This window comes from Homo sapiens, chromosome 12 (assembly GCF_000001405.40).
Source record: "Homo sapiens chromosome 12, GRCh38.p14 Primary Assembly".
Lineage (NCBI taxonomy): Eukaryota > Metazoa > Chordata > Mammalia > Primates > Hominidae > Homo > Homo sapiens.
In genome coordinates, this window is record NC_000012.12 from 22,655,660 (window position 1) to 22,675,475 (window position 19,816).

Sequence of the window (19,816 nt, forward strand, 5' to 3'; positions counted from 1 at the left end):
TGTATGTGAAGTTCATATTGTCATTATTGAATTTTAAAGTTTAAATAGATCAAATTTTTTGTAGATGTTAATTTTTTTTCCTGGTGTTTGGGGACATATGACATTAGATCTGAAAGATAACTTCAAAACTATATAACAGGCCAAATATTTTGATTCCTTGTAAGGAACCCAAAAACCAGATGAATTATTTGTTTAAGTTCATAATGCAAATACAGTGGCAAAGTCACAATGAAAACCCAACTAATTTTGTGCAGCGTTATAGGGGTGTTCTATAGTGATACAACTTGGCCTTTGCATCACATTATCAGTTCAAATCCTAGCTTAGCTCGTTAGCTACCTTCTTGCTAGAAAAGGCAAGACTTTCAAAATTAGTTAATACTTTCTCTTCTAGCAGCTATTGATGTTCAACAAATTTCATTAACCTGTAAATGCCCCTTGGAGTTGTGGCCATACTGTTTTATTCATTTTTTAAGTATTTACAGTAGAATTGTCATTTCAGTTACTATAAGCTGAGTAACTGGACAGCTTCTAAGATTACATTTTTTTAATACACAGAAAATTCAGGTAATTTAAAAACTGCTTTAGATTCATCTTGAAATATATATTTGCTCTGGAATGACCATATTGCAGCATGATTCTCATGAACTTCAAAATACTTTATTTAAAAAACAACTTGAGGCAGCAAAAGTATTATAGTTGTCTGACTTTATCCGTGTGATGTGCAGGGCCTCCTTGTCTTCTGATCTCAGTAAACTTACACTGATTGTTTCAGATCAGAAGAGCAGAAACGGCTTAGTTCTAAAGAGACTGTTTGGAAAACATTTCCAAATAACTGCAGCACTTGGATGACTACTTCCCTGAGTTTTGCTTATTCACTGAAAGCAGAACTACTGTGCCGAGCCCTCCAGTGACATGGGCCTTCTGCTCTCCCAGACATTTGCCTCTCTTCACACCTGTTCTGAATCCAGCATGGAGCAGACGAGAAGTCATGGAGTTCTGACAGTTCCAGCACGTGTGTCCCCTTTGCAAAGGGGAAAATTACGTTTTGTAAGAGACCCCAAATCAGGGTCTCTTATAAACCCTGGGGTAAAACTATTAGAAATGATATTATTTTTCATTTATTTAAAAAAACCACAGCAAATAAAATCTGTTAGAGTTAAATATCTGTGACGCCCTCCTAAATCATCTGTTTCATTTCAGTAAATATTTCTAAGATATAATATTCTGTTGACATAGATTGCCCCTTGTGTTTCATGTAACACAGATTGTATCTTTCTTCAAGCTTTTTGTTTCCTCCTCTTCTCTGAAGTTTTAAAACCAGTTTTAACTGGCTTACAGTGTGTGTGTGTCTGTGTGTGCATGCGTGTACATGCATGCATTTGCACTTTCCTTTGTTTTGATTTTATCACCACCTGGCCTTTCCATCAAGTTGCCTGGTGCTTAAGTACCACAGTTCATTTGGGCTTAGCTTTCTGCCTATATATGAGACTAACATAAAAATAGATTTGTTTTCTGTATTCTTGTGGACATGAGTGTATGGTCTTAGGGAAGGTCATTCAAAATGATTTAGTTTATAAAAATAAATGTTTATTTACTCATTTGTTTGAGAGGTATGAACCAAAGTACACATATATAAAAAGGTTATGGATTTTAATATTTTAATGTATTAGATTAAAGATGAGGCTAATACTGTTGCTTGAGGATGATAATTTGACAATTTACAGTGGCATAAAGGAGAAAGAATTTATTGGTACTTGTAATTGAGAATACTGAGTTCAAACATGGGGTAAATCCAGGGACTGTAACAATGTCATTAGGAATATCACTTTATTCTGTTTATTCTTTTACCTTTTTTTTTTTCTCACAAACTTTCCTTAGGACTATCCATAATGATAATCAGTAGGTTTCTCTAACCGGTTTAACCACCCCAGGGGGAAAATTTTCCTAATTTTCTAATAGCTTCAAACAAAGTTGATAGCTTCAATAAAATTAGGATTAAGTCTCTGGCTTAGCTTGGGTAATATGTGCTGAACCAGTCACTGTGGCCTGAATGATAGAATGCTCTGAGCAAGTCAGGGTCATATGTTCACTTACTACTGAAGTGAGTGATGCAGTTAGGATTGAGATCAGCTCTGTAGTAATGACATGAACTAAAAGTAAGAGTGATAGAAGTTTCTCCAAAAGAAAATAAGGACTCTTTAGTTACTAGGAATGAGATAAAAACAAGAATATTCACAATAGTATAGAAACATAATAATAAAAATGTGTTATTTAATGATTGATACAATACTAGATTCTCTGTGGGCCTTACTTAAGTGGCTTTCAAATGTTTTTGCATATTAAAATCACTTGGGAAGGTTTTAAATATCTCAGTGTCCTGGCTGCACACCAGGCCAGTTAAATCAGAATTTCGTTAGTACCTAAGCCTGTGTAATTTGTTTTGAAGTTCCTTAGGAAAATCATGCTAACAAGAACTAGGTAGACAGATCTGGTAGAGTCAAGGTTCAAAAAGAGGGATTTCAGGGGACAGAGAAGTTCACATGGGAGAAGCAGGATCCAATGGAGAGAACAGAGGGGCCTCAAAGAGAGAGAGAAAGAAGGACCTCCAGCCTAGGAGGTACCTATCAAAAGAAGCGTGGGACTCCAATCTAGTTTCAGAGAGTACACTCAAAATCTTAAGTATCAGAATTCTTGCCAGCTTCAGTGTATGTTCAGTGGTTCAGGAATCTGACTCACCAGTGGATCCCCATTAATCAGTCAGACGTGAATTCAAAGGTGCAAACATAGGGTCCTGGGTCCAGTGATGAATCTGATTCTGAGTCACAGCACCATAACTGTTAAAGAAAAAATTACTCAGTGATACTTGTTAAAGCATGATAAGGCTGACTTTCTTCAGAATCATTGAGATATAGGTATAGGGGCCACAGCTGTGGGATTTTGGAATTGGAGAAGAGAGACTGGGCCCAACTCCAAATACAGCATGGGCAAGTGGGAATGTATACCCAAGGAGCAGGGTCGGGGTTGGCGGATGGAAAATTAAGAGTAACATCAAAGTAAGGGGTTTCTGGGTAAAACAACCTAATGATTCTTGCTGAAGATGGCCAGAGTAATCAGAGTAATTAATTTGGGGAATGGTGAAGGATAAGGAACCTGATCAGATATCAAGGGTGGGGATACTCTTGCTAAACTGACTCAGTAGGGTTCTTGCTAAAACTGGTTTTTACAAGAGAGAGCACAGGTAGGTCTACAAGAAGATTCGGGAGACTGACTAAAGTTTCATCAAGAATCTTTGTCAGGAGACATGACCTTTATGATACTTAAGTTTTTCTTTTTATGCGGTTTTGTTTTAAACAGGCTAATAGCTCGTCAGCTTGCTAAAATCCATGCTATTCATGCACACAATGGCTGGATCCCCAAATCTAATCTTTGGCTAAAGATGGGAAAGTATTTCTCTCTCATTCCCACAGGATTTGCAGATGAAGACATTAATAAAAGGTAAAATTATTTTTACATTTGAAATTATGTTTTACATTGCTTTGCTCTATGATAGGGTTTCAAAGGTAATTGTAAAGTTTCATTGTATAAAATCTGGTTTTCTTTCTTTGCATTGAAGTAAAGTAAGCATTGATTCTTTGGCTGTCAGATAGCACTACAGAAATAACTGCCTCTCCATCCCCCTCAGTGTCCCCTCCCAAAAAATATGCCCTACAACAGCAAGGGGCAGAGGTGGAAGTAGGGGAACACCACTTAAAAATAAAGAGTTAGGTGGTAATGGTGAAGCAAGATTTTTCTTGACTTTTTAAGATACTGCAGGGTTGAGAGGCAAGTCTAGTATTATATAGAATAAGAGCACAAGAGCCTGGAGCCAAACTGAGATTAAATCTTAGTCCTGCTAGTTAACATTTCTGTTGTGTAACTCATTCAACTAGGGAACTTAACCTAACTGTTTCCTTATCTATAAAATGGAAATTACAGTAGTAGTATATTAACCATATAGAGTTTTTGTGAGGATTGAGATAGTATATGTAAAGTTCTTTAAAACAGTGCCTGGTCATCACTTAAGTGTTGAGGTAGCTGCTGTTTTAAAAATTACTATTGTTATTCAAAGAAGGTTATTTGAGTTATATTTTTTCCCTAGGCTCTCCAAGGTATACTTTAAATCCTTGAGGTTAATGATTCTTTGGAAAAGCTGGAGGTGTGCTGTGGTAAATAATAGGAAGAAAACCCTTGCCCCAATAGAAAATAATACAACTAGAACATAAAACACAATTAAAATATTAAATACATTTTGTATTTCTTTTATTCCATTTTGTTTGTTCATGATTTAAGTTTTATAATCCTTCGAATCCCACAATTTTCATTCGACACTACCTTTAAAAAAAAAAAAAAAAAAAAACACCGCAGTTTTGACCAGTCATACCATTTTGAAAAGAGCATTATGAGGATTACTTGTGGAAGTTGTATGTAGAGAAGAATACAGTAGTGGAGAAAATATAGGTAGAAACCACCTGAACAGGCAAATTAAGTAATGTAAAAAGAATCTGTATTATACTGTTAATGGAGAAGCAGGGAGTAATTTGAGAGACTTTGGAGAAAGAATCAAGAGGTCATGACTTAAAGTATTAAGGGAAGGAGTGAAGGAGTATAGCCGTTTTGTAAGCCTGATTGGTGCTATTGAGGAATTAGTGGTAGTAGCCCAATTTTGTTTCCTTGATTTTTTAATCAAATTAATACAAGTATAGATAATAATCAGTATAGATGAGGATAGGACAAAAAGTCGCGATTTCTAGTCCAGCTTACCATGTTGCCTCCCACCCTTCACAGTCTCACTACTCTGTGGCAATTTCTATAATAGTTCTGTTTTTAACATAACTGGATTATATAAGGATAACTTTATTTTTTATCAACTGTAGACAGTAATCTTTTGACTTTTCTGAGAATTTAGATTTATATTGCATTCACCCTTTCAACCTTGAAATATGTATTTTTAATTTTTAAAATAATTTTTGTAACTTTAAATAATATACTTAAACCTCTATTTATTAAATGCTTTGTGTCTTAGTTTTGTCATCTATAAAATTGACATAAATGTAAATTACTTAGAATAGTACTTAGTAATTGTTAACTATTACCTATATATATTACTTAGAAACCCAAGTTTTTAGTGAGTTTTTTAACTTTTGTCCTACATTTTAATTGCTGCTCAGTTTCTTCTATTCATGTCTAAACTTACTATATAGGTTTTCTTTATTCTAACTTTTGAAATAGAATAATTGGTCTGTTGTTTGAATTCAGCAGTATGTGCGATTAAATTGAAGGGATTTATTCAAAATAGATTTTAATCCTTAATCAAACTTGAAAAAAATGTCACACAAGATATAACTCTTCTTTTAAAACTAAAAGGTTCCTAAGTGATATCCCAAGCTCTCAGATTCTCCAGGAAGAGATGACTTGGATGAAGGAGATTCTTTCCAACCTGGGCTCACCTGTTGTGCTTTGCCATAATGACCTATTGTGTAAGAATATAATCTACAATGAGAAACAAGGTAGGTATTTGACCTTAGCAGTAAGTAAAATTGATTTCTTTTATGTTCTTAATGGTCATTTTATCTCTATATCAACAAAATAAATTCAAATGCAAGGAGTAAGAGCGTGCATGAAACCTTTAAAGATTTTCTTTTAGTTTATCAAGTTATGGTAACTGTGAAATTTAGGATATATATTCTTTTTATATTTGTATAAAATATGTTTTTTAGAATTGGTTAGAAACAGTTTGTGATTTCCATGGGATTTTTAGGTATAAAATGATGAAATGATTTGTTTATAAATTTAATTGCAAAACTTATTTGGTTATTCATGAGTTGAACATGTACCTGCTTGTAATGGGGGATGTGGAAAATCAACATATTGACATTAAACTGCTTTATAAATAGAAAAATTTTCTCACAGTGTTGGGAAGGACAACAGTATTAAAAACAAATGTGTCTCCAGGTTTCTCATTATCTAGTTATTGTTGATTTGTTAGATATTTTGATACTAAGGAGAGAGCTACAGATGGAGGAGATATTATTTGTAGTTGCTCAAATTTATATCTACTAAAGTAATCAAGAAACCTTGGTAGATAATTTCAACATTTTTTGAGGTAGACTGATACTTTTTGGTGAAATGTTTTTGTGTTTATATTTGTACACTGTATTCAATTTCTGTTTTCATATTTAAGAACCACTCGGTTGTATTATATTACTGGGTGAAGTGGTTTGAGGTTTGGTTGCTAAATGATAGATGCCCTTCAATGCTAAATTGAAATTTAAAAATAAAATTTTGGTTGAAGGAGTCTTACTAACTTAAAAAATGTTTTTGAAACTGTTTTCATTTTATAGGAAACTAGTTCCCCGCACCCCCCCCCCCTTTTTTTTTCCTTTTTTGAGATGGAGTTTCACTCTTGTCACCCAGGCTGGAGTGCAATGGCATAATCTCAGCTCACTGTAACTTCCGCCTCCCAAGTTCAAGTGATTCTCCTGCCTCAGCCTCCTGAATAGTTGGGATTACAGGTGCACATCACCATGCCCGGCTAATTTTTGTATTTTTTTTTTTTTTTTTTTTTTTTTAGAAGAGATAGAGTTTCACCATGTTGGCCAGGCTGGTCTCGAACTCCTGACCCCAGGTGATCCGCCCACCTCGGCCTCCCAAAGCGCTGGGATTACAGGTGTGAGCCACTGAGCCTGGCCTTTCCTTTTTTTTTTTTTTTTTAAGTGACTGGATCTCAGTATGTCACCCAGGCCTGGAATGCAGTGGTGTAATCATGGCTCACTGCAGCCTTCAACTCTTGGGCTCAAGCAGTCCTCCTGCCCCAGTCCCCTGAGTAGCTGGGACTACAGGTACATGCCATCATACCTGACTAATTTCAAAATTTGTTTTTGTGGAGATGGAATCTTGCTCTGTTGCCCAGGCTGGTTTTGAATTTGTGGCCTCAAGTGATCCTCCTGCCTTGGCCTCCTAAAGTGCTGGGATTACTGGCGTGAGCCACTGTGCCTGGCCTGGAAACCAGTTTTTGAAGATAGTTATTACAGTTGGAAGAGCTGATTTTGAATCAAAATTGTGCTGTTGTAAATATAGTAAAGCCTAAGAATTCACATTAGCATGGTCATAATTATATTAAATTACTGTTTATGACCCTTCTTAGAGTGTAAAGCGGGACTATTCAAATACAAAGGTTGATAGATATAGCTGACTTTCACTTTAAGAAAACCAAAGGTACACTGTCAAGAGTGGTAGGCTTAAGCACATATTGCCAAAAATATATTTGAGAATTTTTTGTTTGATATTTCAATGTTGATTAGAGATTCTATTTTTCAAAAACATACTGAGCTAACATTTTTGTTTTGAATCATCTTGAAATGCTTGTGTGGAATCATTTTTAAAATTTCGAGCATACCCTAAAACATTAAGTACTTGACAGTGTCCTTTAATGTCTTATTGTCTGTTATATATAATTATCATAGTACGTATGCACTACATTATATACTGGTAACCAAATCTCAATGCCATTTGTGAGACTAGAGCATTAGTTACGCATTAAAGCAGTGTATGAGCTTGTAAATTCAGTGCAGGACCTAATAACACATTTTATATAATGGAATTTCAAGTGAGGGACTTCATCTTACATTTGAAGTGGACACTCAGCTTTATTTTTAACTGCAAGTTGATCAAAGAGAATCTGTTATTTCCTTTAGAATATAATTTTAAACTTTCATATTTTTATTTTTGTAAGTTTCTTTTGCATATTCATTTCACAGAACAAAACTTGTTTATAAAACCAAAAAATAAGGGACCAAAAAAATCAGATTACTTTGTCTTGGGTGTTAAAAAATACATTTTCACTTTTTTATTTAAGTGGTCACTTATCTCTAAACTATTGATCAGTTATGTGAAAAGTTCCCATGTTTTCACATAAAATCTTTATTCAGTTTGGCTTTAAGAATGCAAGGTTGTCATTTGTTTTTGTGCCAAGTTACTTGAATTATACTTTTGTGTCTAATTTTCCTTTCACAGAAAAATTTTACAGCTGTACAGATGAACTATTTTGATACATTTTTTAGAATTTGCCTTTTTTATTGAAGTCTAGTTTGTATCATTTGTTTTTTCTTTGTCTTTGTGGTTATGTATGTGTCTTAGTTACAGAAATGTTCTGTTTTTTTTTTCTCTCTCCTTACGTGGTTTTATAATGTTCATTAGGAAGGCTGGTTTTGATCCCATAGTATCCGTTTAAAAGAGTAATTTCTATGTGATTACTTCAAACATAAGCATTAAGAAATATGGTTAGAATGTTCAAATAAAAATCTAAAACTAAAGTATGACAAGAAGCTTACTTAACCTAGTCTTTAGTGTTACGTTTCAAATTGGGAGCTAATGGTTTTAAGGTAATTTAACTATATGACATGTTTGAGTGTTTACTATAAGTAGAAGATGCCATGCCTTATACTTAAAAAGTATGAATTATATTATTTAATAAATTTAATAGTCAAAAATAGTCAATATTGAGTAAATGTAATATGCAAACTAGTTATATGTTTGCATTTAATATGCAAATAATATAATATGCATATAATATAACTAGTAGGTATGTTTGCATATTAAATGCAAGCATCTAACTAGTAGATATAGGACTTAATTAACAGATATGACATGACGATTCAGTTCACTAAAAGTGGAACTTTTAGTTTCTATCTTAACTATAACTTGAGAGATTAATTTAGATTAATTTAGAATTAAAATGTGTATGTATATGGGTATATGTATAAGTAACATATTTATACACAAGGCACACATACTATGAGCACCCTGCAATTTGTAGGCATTTTTACATGTGAATGTTATTGGAACTGGTAGACATCACAGGAAGAAATTTTATATATTTGAGATTGTAGCATAGCATTAACACTTATGGCAGCAATTTTGAAAAGGTTAATTAAAGATACAGACTGCAGTTATTTACCTTCTTTAGTTGCCTTATTATAGCATATAAATGCCATGTTGAGTCTTTTGAGATTAAGATAATTTCCATATAGAATAAATGATTAAGCTGCATATTCACAAACATGTTTGATTTTTTATTACTTCTTAAGTCATTCATATGACTTGAGCTCCAGGTTTCATTATTGTGTACCCAACTTTGAGATACCAATAGATAAAACGTAATAAGATGAAAGCCAGGGGACTGGCCTTGGAATCATCAAGCTCAGTATTTGTCTGCAGTATGTTTCAGACCCTTAATTTCTCAGAAGTACAAATTTTAGGCAAACTTCTTAAATTTATACTGGATTATCTTGATGTCTCTACATATATGTTTAAACCATAGTAACTTAGATTTTGTACTAGAAAATCTCTAACTCTTAAAAGCAGATATATTTATAGCTTAGTTACTATCAAGAGAAGTCAGAAAGAGTATAGATTTTGGAACTAAACACATTCGAGTTTAGATCCCTACCCAGTTACTTACAGAAATAAGTAGTATTAGACATATCGTTTTATCTCTTTATGTCTTTATGTAAACACAGACTGTTCTTGACAGTTTACATCAGAATCACCTATGGTACTTGGGAAAAAATTTGGATTTCTTGGCCCCACCCATGACCAATTACAAAATAATTTTTATAGATAGGCTTAGAAATTTTATGTTTAACAGATTCTGAGGCAGTTTTTGTACTATTGATAGTCTAGAACTTTAGTTTGCTTTATTTGTAACTTAGAGACAATATCTACTTCAGATGGATGCTGACAAGATTTTAGATCATGCATATAAAATATATAGCACTGGACCAAGGACTTAGCAGCTCTTAGTTGTAGCTATTATACTAACATAGGGGTTGGCAAACATTTTCTGTAAGGGGCTATGTAGTACAACTTTTAGGCATTGTGGGCTGGATAGTCTCCATTGCAACATTTCAGCTGTGTGTTGAGGCATGAACACAGCCATAGACAATACATGAGTGAGCTGTGTTCAAATAAAACTTTATTTCCAAAAATAGGTGGTGGATTGGATTTGAGCTGAAGGTACATGGTTTGCCAACCCTGTATTATGTTTATAGCATTTGTTTTACAAAATATACCTGATTCTGAAAAAATGAAAAATGGTTACTATAGGCTAGATAGTAGGTAGTTAAGTCCTATAACTACTAGTAGGTAGTTATAGGACTTAATTAACAGATAGATATGATGTGACAATTCAGTTTAAGTGCAACTTTCAGTTTCTATCTTAACTATAACTTGAGAGATTAATTTAGAATTACAAATGTGTGTATATATATATATGAGCATATGTATACATAACATATTTACACACAAGGCACACATACTATGAGCACCCTGCAGTTTGTAGGCATTTTTACATGCGAATGTTATTGGAACAGATAGGCATCACGGGAAGAAATTTTGCCTCTACCTGCTCTCACCATGTCAGTTGACAGGACTCAGGACATGGGAGAAGAGTGAGCTTCCTTTCTGAAGTTGATGGTAGCTGTCAAGATTTTTGAAAAGTTAGTGCCAGGAATTAGGTGATTGGTAAGCAGCGGCCCATTCCTTGCCTTCAGTGAAATGACATCCTGAAAAGGTAAGAAAAGAATACTTAATGATATGGTGATAGAATTTGATATATAATAAGGAAACCAAAAGCAGCAGTTCTTGCTCCAGAACTATAGGAATTATCAGTCATCTTTTAAATCAATCATTAATTTAATAGACTTTATATTAAGCAGAATAAATTGTAATATTGCCTATGACTAACTTCAAATCTAATATTTTAATTTCAACTAATCATTTAACTACTGACATCAAGAAATTACTAAAGCTGTTGAGATTTCTATCTCATGTCTTGATGTTCTCTCAGAATGTTTATTGGTCTCATGACTTTTGGTGACTTTCATTTCTCCTGCTGTCCCCATTTCTTCATAAAAGCTCATGTAAATACCTAATATTTAACTTTAAATTTCAGTAATGGCAATCACTGTTTATTTTCTCTGTCAGCACAATACAAGAAGCTGATTTACAGCTGTTTAAGGAAATACAAATGAGTGGAAGAAAAGGAAAGCTTTTTCTGGGAATTAAAGAGTAAATCAGGTTTTGTTTTATTTTGCTTTGTTTTAAGAGTTCTATACAATATAAATAGAAAATGGGTGAGTCCCCATAGTCACTTGTTTGGCTCTAAATCTTATCCATTCTATTATTACTCCTGAGAAAGCTTTGTAGTTGTCATGTTACTCATGTTTTAATGACTGAGAAGAGTTTTTTCATTGGTACTTTTAAAAAATTTAAATAAATACAAATTGATTTTTGTGTTTGGTAAACTATGTTTTCTAGGGTGGTGTTTTTAAATGTAGTTTAATTTTTAACTCTGTTTTAATTTGTATTCTCAACCACTAGTTAGCAGAAAATAAAATATCTGTAAGTCAGATAATAAAAAACTTAAATGAACTGTAAAAACCTGAAGTTATGAAGAAAGAGTGACCTAATATAGGTACTAGTTTGTTTGTTTTTTCATTCATTCATTCTGGCCCACTGTGTTCAGTCTTGTACTTGAATAAAAATGTCAGAAACACCACACTTTTTTCTTTAGTTTTTCATGCTTTTTTGTCTTTTCCCCTCCCCCAGCAAACGTGTTATTGTGTGTCAGCATTTTCTGCAAACTTCATTTTTTCTACTAGCATTTAAATATTTCCTGTGTCCTAGGGATTGCTCTGTGGATTGCAGGATAAAAGAGGGAAGGGACCCTAGTGCCCCTCCAGGAGGCTGTGTATCTTGTAGTGGAGGAGTCCAATCACTGAACAGATACTTACATTTAGAATGATGAGTGCTCTGGTGAAGGGGTACAGAGTACTACAGGACACCAGCGTGAAGATTAAAGGGAAAGTGTTTCAGACTAGAATACTCCCTGTCTTTTTCTGTATAAAATAGAAAACATTTTGCTAACATTAGTAGGATTATAGTTACTTTTCGTATCGTTCTCTTCGAACCTGCCTAACATTGCAGAGCAAGTAGGGTGAGTTGGAAAGATTTTTCAGGTTCTCATATTGACTATTTTGCTTTTCATTTTTATTCCTTTCTCCTAACAACAAAATAAAGGAATTCAGACAAACATGTCATGTGATAATTATATAGCCTTGGGTAATACATTATTATTTTTTAGTTTTAAAGTACTTTAAAAATTGGCAGAGTATTTTTAGTATACTAAGATTTGAACAGTTTAACCAGTAGTGTCGGGATTTGATTACGCTGATAAAGATATGCAAGAAATAAAGTAATAAAAGACAAAATGTAGGTTTGGAAAATTCAAATTGTAGTTTTATCCATTAATCATATACTTTACTTTGTGCTTGTCATTGTGATAATTACATAAAGATAAATAAAATAACACACCTAGCCCTTAAAGTAGTAGTTCTTTACTTTTTAAAGGTCAGGGGTCCCTTGAGAATCTGAAAAATTGAGAATCTCTTCCTAAGAAAGTGCACATACACATAAAATTTTAGGGAATATTCTAGTTGTCTTTTCATCCTTGAAACCCCAATTAAAAATTCATGTCTTAAAGAACTGAGATGATGATCATGCTATATGAGCTAGTTAATTATTAATGCTGATGTGGATATTCGTTTAAATAAAGCGAAATTTTAGAAATCAGAAGTTAAATTTATAGAAGGAAAAAGTATATTTTCTGTTGTTAGGAAAGCATTTTCCAGTAATTTGATTTTTCTGGCACCCTAACTAAGGGAAGTTGGCTTTTTAAATTTTACTTTGTTGCAGAAGATTAAATTTAAGGTTGAGTTCCACTTTGTTTGCAATAGTTTGAAAAAGAATAGTTAATGCAGATTTTTTTTTTAAATTTTTTTCCTTTTAAGCTTTGTGTCTTGTACAATGTGAGTTTGCCAAATTTTCTTCATCTGCTACAGATTAGGTATGCCATTGTTGCTGCCATGTGGCGGCGCACCCCGTGCTTCTTAAACGCACTGACTGGAGGTTTATCGCATCACTTGTTCACATGCACGGAGCCTGGTAACAGCCTCATCTGTATCTTGTTAGCTTCATTTTCTTATTTTTAAAATTTCATTATTTATAAACTCAACATAGCATTTAAAAATAAAGGCTAGTTTTAATTAATTAATGTTACTACAAAAAGTCATTGCTAAAATTTTCATAGTGAAACAGATTTTAACTTTTGTTAAAATGTGCTATGCTTTAATTAAATTGTATTTACTCTACAAGCAGGGATGTTTTACCTGCCATTTTAACTGTATTTGCCAAATTCTAAATATAATTTTGAAAATTGAAATTGAAGCTTATGTTTATGTGGCAAAAGTAAGCTTCAGGACTGGGCTGTGTATTTTTATTGGCATGTAACAGTTAATATGAGCTCTACAAGAATTTGTTTTTAAGGAGCTAAAGCTATCAACAGCTGCAGATTTAAAAAATTATATATTAAAACTGTTAGGTTAGCTCAGTTGTACAACTTAGTGAATCTTGTATCCTGAGTTTCTGAAGGCTGGTGGATAGGTATCTCTGAAATCATTGTGTTTTAGTCTTTTTACTGATAGTTTTGTATAGGGAATTCATCTTCTCTTTTAAAATAACTTTTTTCCTTTAATTTATTTCTATTACTTATTGTACATAAATTTTAAAATAAAAAAATAAAAGAAAAAAGTCACTTGTCTATCACCTGTTAATAGTTTAAACATTTTGGTTTATTTCCATTCATCCTTCCCCCCCATGCATTATTTACATATTTTTTTTTCTCTGTAGGCATATTTTAATTTGGATCACAGTTTACTACTTAGTATCTCCTTTTCATGACATTTGTAATTTCCCTGGTCATTATTTTTGAAAATGAGATTTCTTCATGGTTTTATTTCATTTTATTTTCATGCCTGTGAGTATTTTATCATGATGGTTGTCTTCACTCTCCTACTCCCAATGATTCCTAGAAAAGAAACTTTAAAACATGTTTCTACTTCCCATTCTGCAGTTTAGTAAAATGATTTGGTTAACTCTTAAAACTTTTTGTGGAATAATGTTCTGTGAATTCAAGTATACAAGGCAGGAGGATCACTTCAGGCCAGGAGTTCCATACCAGCTTGGGCAACATAGCAAGACCCCGTCTCTACAAAAAACAAAAAGAGAAAAAAAATATATAATACTTGAGGTAGTTGAATTGCCGTGATTTATTGTCACCAATATTTTTAAATCTTATATTTATTATAATAATACACATTACATTTTTATAACTGGGTTATAACATTGATTATTCTCACTTATTCTAGATGTGACTTATTTAAATAAGTTTAGAATTATATATTAAATACAATTATATTAAAAACATTTTTGCTTTTATGTAAAACACTATTTGCCATGACATTTTTTGTCACGTAATTTTGTTTTTCTTTGTGTTTGAATATGATCAAATACTTCCCAAAATTAAACTTACAAATGTATATCAACATATTATAATTCAAAAGCTGTTTTTATTTGGGAAATAAATAACAATGTGTAAAGACCGGGAATTTGTTCTCCTACCTAAGCCTGATGATTAAAAGACAGTGTAACTATGCAGGTGTTAAACATTTTCTATATTCTTACAGCCATCTCTGTTCATATATCCATTTTTAACTCCACGCCCCTGTAAGCCTTTGAGTTTGTGATCCCTGGTGAAGACAGTGACCCACATTGATTTTTTTTTTTTTTAAGGTTTCTCTCTCTCTTTTTTGCTTTTTCTCTCGAATATAGGACCTATATCTTTGTTAAGGCAAATCCTTTATAATATTCATTACTCAAAAGTTAAAAGTTCCTGAGTAGTAGTATGAAAGAACTAGATTATCTTTGGAGAGTTATAATGACATGCCTATATATGTAGCAGTAATTTAGAATAGGCATCTATTTAGCTTATGTGAAAATTTCTCACGTTTATAAACGTTAAAAGAAACCATACTTTTGCTTTTTGTAAGATAAAACCACCACCTTATTGCACCGTAATGCTGCTCAGATATGGAAACCTTGGTTAGGTAGTATTACAGGAAAATGTAAGCATATGATAGCAACTAACTTCTTGTTAGTGATCTTACATTGCTCAGCAAGTATAGCATTATTGCAAGATTTACAGAATTCAGGTCTTTAAAAGTTTATATTTTATTTCCATATGTAGATAAGCTTGTCAGTTTACTGTTGGAGTATCATAAAGTTTTTGTTAAAATTACACAGATTATTAGTAATTTCCAAAGATAAAAATTATGTTTCTAATTAAACTTGAATTTTTAAGTAACTGATGCCCCCATGTGGCAAAGGATTTATTTTGCTTTTGCTTAAACTTGGAGAATGACTGTCTTTTCATTTTTCTTTAAAAAAGTGGACATTAGTGTTTATAAAGAAGCTGTTGACCAAGAGACATAATTTGAATTTTGTAAAGCTCATTGCCATAAAATTCACAGCCCCTTACCCTGTATTGTCTCACAAGTGCATGTAATCAAGCACGTACAATGAGACAAAATATTGGAAGCTATTTAATTACAAATAGCATAGGGATTTTCTGATCTTATATGTGATTTCTTAATGTCTTTGTTTTTGTGTCTCACATAGGTGATGTACAGTTCATTGATTATGAATATTCTGGATACAACTACCTGGCATATGATATTGGAAATCATTTCAATGAATTTGCAGGTATAACTAATGGAGTAACTTATTTAGCTTTGAAACGATATTTTCAGAATATTTCATTCTTTTTTTAAAGTAGATAAACCGTGAGCAGGGGGAACATTTTCCCACGTGTTGTTGACCGTTTTTCTTTGCTTTTGTTTATCACTGGAAGAAAGCAGAGATGACCAAAATTTCTTCCTTAATTGCTATCAGAAAGTAATAGGTGGCCGGGCGCGGTGGCTCACGCCTGTAATCCCAGCACTTTGGGAGGCCGAGGTGGGCGGATCACGAGGTCAGGAGATTGAGACCATCCTGGCTAACACGGTGAAACCCCGTTTCTACTAAAAATACAAAAAATTTAGCCGGGCGTGGTGGTGGGCGCCTGTAGTCCCAGCTACTTGGGAGGCTGAGGCAGGAGAATGGCGTGAACCCGGGAGGCAGAGTTTGCAGTGAGCCGAGATCGCGCTACTGCACTCCAGCCTGGGCGATAGAGCAAGACTCCATCTCATTAAAAAAAAAAAAAAAAAAAAAAGTAATAGATAGGAGAAAAATAATGATTGTGGCTTCTGTTGAGATCAGACATAGCATAAGGTGCTTCATAAATCTTACCTCATTTTTTTCTCCACAGCAGCCCTACAAGGTAATACTCGCAGTTTACATATCAAGAAAGAAACTCACCAAGGTCACAGTAAAATACAGAGAACTAAGATTTGAAGCTAATTTTTAAGCATTTAAAAAGCCTTTGCTGTTTCCATTGTAAACTGGGGCTTTTGGAATATTAGTTCACTAAAAAGTTCAATAACCTTTTTTGACTTTGTCTATGAATATTGAAAAGTTGGTCATTTTTACCCCTATTAATTTATAATTACTTAAGTTAAAATTACTAGTTTTTTAAATGTAAGTGGGAAGAATTTAAAATCCATTTTATCACTCTTTATTTAGAAACACGAAATGCTCTAAAAACTAAAGATTAGAACATACCCCAGAATGGTTTATACCTAGTAGGAATTTTTTATTGTTGAATTTATATTTGTGTAAGTTTATATATTTATATATTTTTATATACTTCAGATTACCAGACTGGGAAATACTCTGGGAAAAAATTTTAATTTGATGTTTCCAGTTATTTTGGACTACCAAGCTTATCATATACATATAAGCTGTACATATTTTTACGTATCTCATCTATGGAAGGGGAACTAGCTGTGCATATAATAAAATATTAACATGTTAGTAATATAGACGGCCACTGCCGTGGATATGAAATAGAAAACTCCAGTGATCTTCTAATGATTTTGTGGACAAAAAAAGTGAGCTAAACCTTGTGAGTTAGGTAGAATTTGGATGTGCAAACTAAAGAGAAGGAAAGGGGAAAAAACTTTAAGATGAACTACTTACTTTTATAGGATATAGAATTCATGAAGGAGACTACAGAGTTATAGGACTAGTGAGGTAGATTTAGACCAACTTCTAAAGAACCTTGGATGGCAAGATAGTATGAACTTTGTCTTCTAGGTTAGTATTTTCCAAACTATAGATCATGAAGTTAAATTTGTGGGGTAATGACTTTTTTGTTTGCAAGGAATGGAAAAGAGAAACAAAATCTCAGAGTTGGAAAATGTTGTTGGGATAAATACTGTTTTGTGAAATGTAGTATCAGCTGGTTCTATGTATAAGGTCTCAAAAAAAATGTATTCTTGGTTGCAGTGAGCCGAAATCATGCCACTGCACTCCAGCCTGGGTGACTGAACGAGATTCCGTCTCCAAAAAAAAAAGTATTCTTACCATGAGTCATGGTTTGAAAAGTTTTATAGCCACACTTTGAGGTAGTGCTCCAAATGTCAGCATGCTTAAGAATTTCCTGGGTTGCTTCCTAAAATGCATAGTTTGGGTTTGTGATGCAGCTGGTTCAAGCTATAAACTTTGAGGAAAAATTGAAGCTATGAGAATTGATTTGGTGATCAACAGTAATGTGCCTTAGTGTTTAAGCTGAAATACAGAATGATTGGTTTATTATTTTAATAAATGCTTTTTACTTAACATGCAGTATTCCAGCCAAAATGGAACTTTTCATTTTTTATGAAAAAATGGTGGTTTTAGGGATTATTAAGGTATGCAGAAGAGTTTATGTTTTAAAATTTTTGAGTGTAGTTTTTTTTCTTCTAAAGGTGTGAGTGATGTAGACTATAGTCTGTATCCAGATAGAGAACTACAGAGTCAGTGGCTGCGTGCTTACCTTGAAGCCTACAAAGAATTTAAGGGCTTTGGGACTGAAGTTACTGAAAAGGAGGTAGAAATACTCTTCATTCAAGTCAATCAGTTTGCATTGGTAAGTTTAAATGTACACAATTAATGAAAGGTTCTTACTGTAATTGAAAATGCTTCTAAATTTTCGTCATCTTAGACAATTTCCTATTTTAAGTTTTGTGAATTTTTGTTCAAAATAATGTAAATACATGACCATTTACAGTATGCATTACCCCATTGCATTAGTTTTAAGGACAAAAATTTTGTTTCATTTCCTGCTATATCCCCATCCCCTAGAACAATGCCTGGCCATATGATAGGTACTCAGTAATTATTTGTTTAATGAGTAGATTCTTATCAGGGTTAAGATTGATGCATAAAACAATTTCTTAGTCTATTCCTTTCTTTACATCAAAGTCAAATTTTACAGGAGAGGAGCTTTTCCACAACACATTTTATGGTTAGATCTTATGTGATAAAAGTAGGTTGGAAGAACCTGTAGGATTATGTTTTTTATGACTTATCCAGTGTTTTGTCTTCTTGACCTTCATTTGATAAGCAGTTATTTCCAGCTTTATTGGTGTCTTAAAGCTTTATTATTAAGACCTACTTCTCTTTACATGCATTTATATTTTAAAAATGAGCTCATTATCTTTTGAGAATAATATGATACATTAGAATGATCTTTCAACTAAGGTGTTAGATAATTAAATGGAATAATAAGCCAAAGCTATTTTAGCTGCTGCTTTTTGGTTTTAATATAATTTTGTATAGTTGACATGGGAAATATTTGTTGTGTTGTCTCTACAGATAGACCCTAGTGGTATATGGGTATGCCATTTTTATAGTCTTAAAAGTACCATATGCCCAGAGTTACTCAGAATACATCCCAAGTAAGAAGGTGTCCTGAAATGTTCCTTTACCTGCTGTTCTTCTATCTATTTTCAGTACAGTTACTGGTTCAATTAATGACATGCTCTACAGCTGGTCCTAGGATGCCTGCTTTTCTATTTATTGTATTTAAGCATGATCTTAGAGAATGTAGGGTTTTCTTTCTCATTAGGTGATTTAATGAATTTCAGATTCAGCCTAATATTCCATTTATGCATTGAATTAGTTAATTTCCAGGTAAAGTACACATAGCTCATCAATTCTTAACCATCAATCCCACTGTTTGCTATTAGAAAGCTGATTTGGATTTCCTTGCAAACTTTTGATGACATTTAAGATTTTTGGGGGATACTGTGACTGTATCTGTACATGGCATTGAAAAATACCTTTGCTTCTGATTTGATCAATTGTTTATAAATATTCATCAATCAGATACTAAGTACTTACTGTTATTCTAGGTCAGTAGATTGGAAGAATAAAAAAAATGCACTCTTTCAAAATGCTTATAATTTAGAAGGCCAAATAAGATGTACAGAATAACTCTTTTGGTGGTAAAAGTTAACACTCATTTCTTTTGAAATTGATTTTATTTTAATATTTACTTTTATTTTTATTTTGAGACAGTCTTTGCTTTGTCATCCAGGCCTGGAGTATAGTGATGTGATCACAGCTCATTGCAGCCTCAACCTCCCGGGCTTAAGCAGTCCTCCCACTTGAGCCTTCTGAGTAGCAAGCGCCACCATGCCTGGCTAATTTTTTTAATTTTTCTGTGGAGATGAGGTCTCTCTATATTGCCCAGGCTGGTCTTGAACTCCTGGGCCTAAGTGATTCTTCCCGGCTCAGCCTCCCAAAGTGCTGGGAATTTATAGGTATGAGCCATCATGCCAGACCTATTTTTTTATTAGATACAAGGTCTTGCTCTGTCACGCAGGCTGGAATGCAGTGGTACGATCATAGCTCACTGCAGCCTCAAACTCCTGAGCACAAGGGGTTCTCCCAACTCAGC

General features: G+C 33.3%; 1 protein-coding gene across 5 annotated transcripts in view; it reads left to right on the top strand.

The window, feature by feature from the left end:
• The window catches only part of ETNK1 (ethanolamine kinase 1), a 65,495-nt gene that overhangs the window by 30,489 nt on the left and 15,190 nt on the right, over positions 1-19,816 (top strand). For 2 of the 5 annotated variants that reach the window (NM_018638.5, XM_017019580.2), the window contains exons 3-6: positions 3,355-3,495; positions 5,404-5,546; positions 15,613-15,696; positions 17,841-18,001. In NM_018638.5, the coding sequence (NP_061108.3) occupies positions 3,355-3,495; positions 5,404-5,546; positions 15,613-15,696; positions 17,841-18,001 (529 nt within the window). Of the gene's footprint in view, positions 1-772; positions 1,162-3,354; positions 3,496-5,403; positions 5,547-11,022; positions 11,597-12,938; positions 13,042-15,612; positions 15,697-17,840; positions 18,002-19,816 lie in introns of those variants that run through there. The other 3 variants (XM_047429100.1, XM_017019581.2, XM_005253420.5) reach the window with 3 other exon arrangements.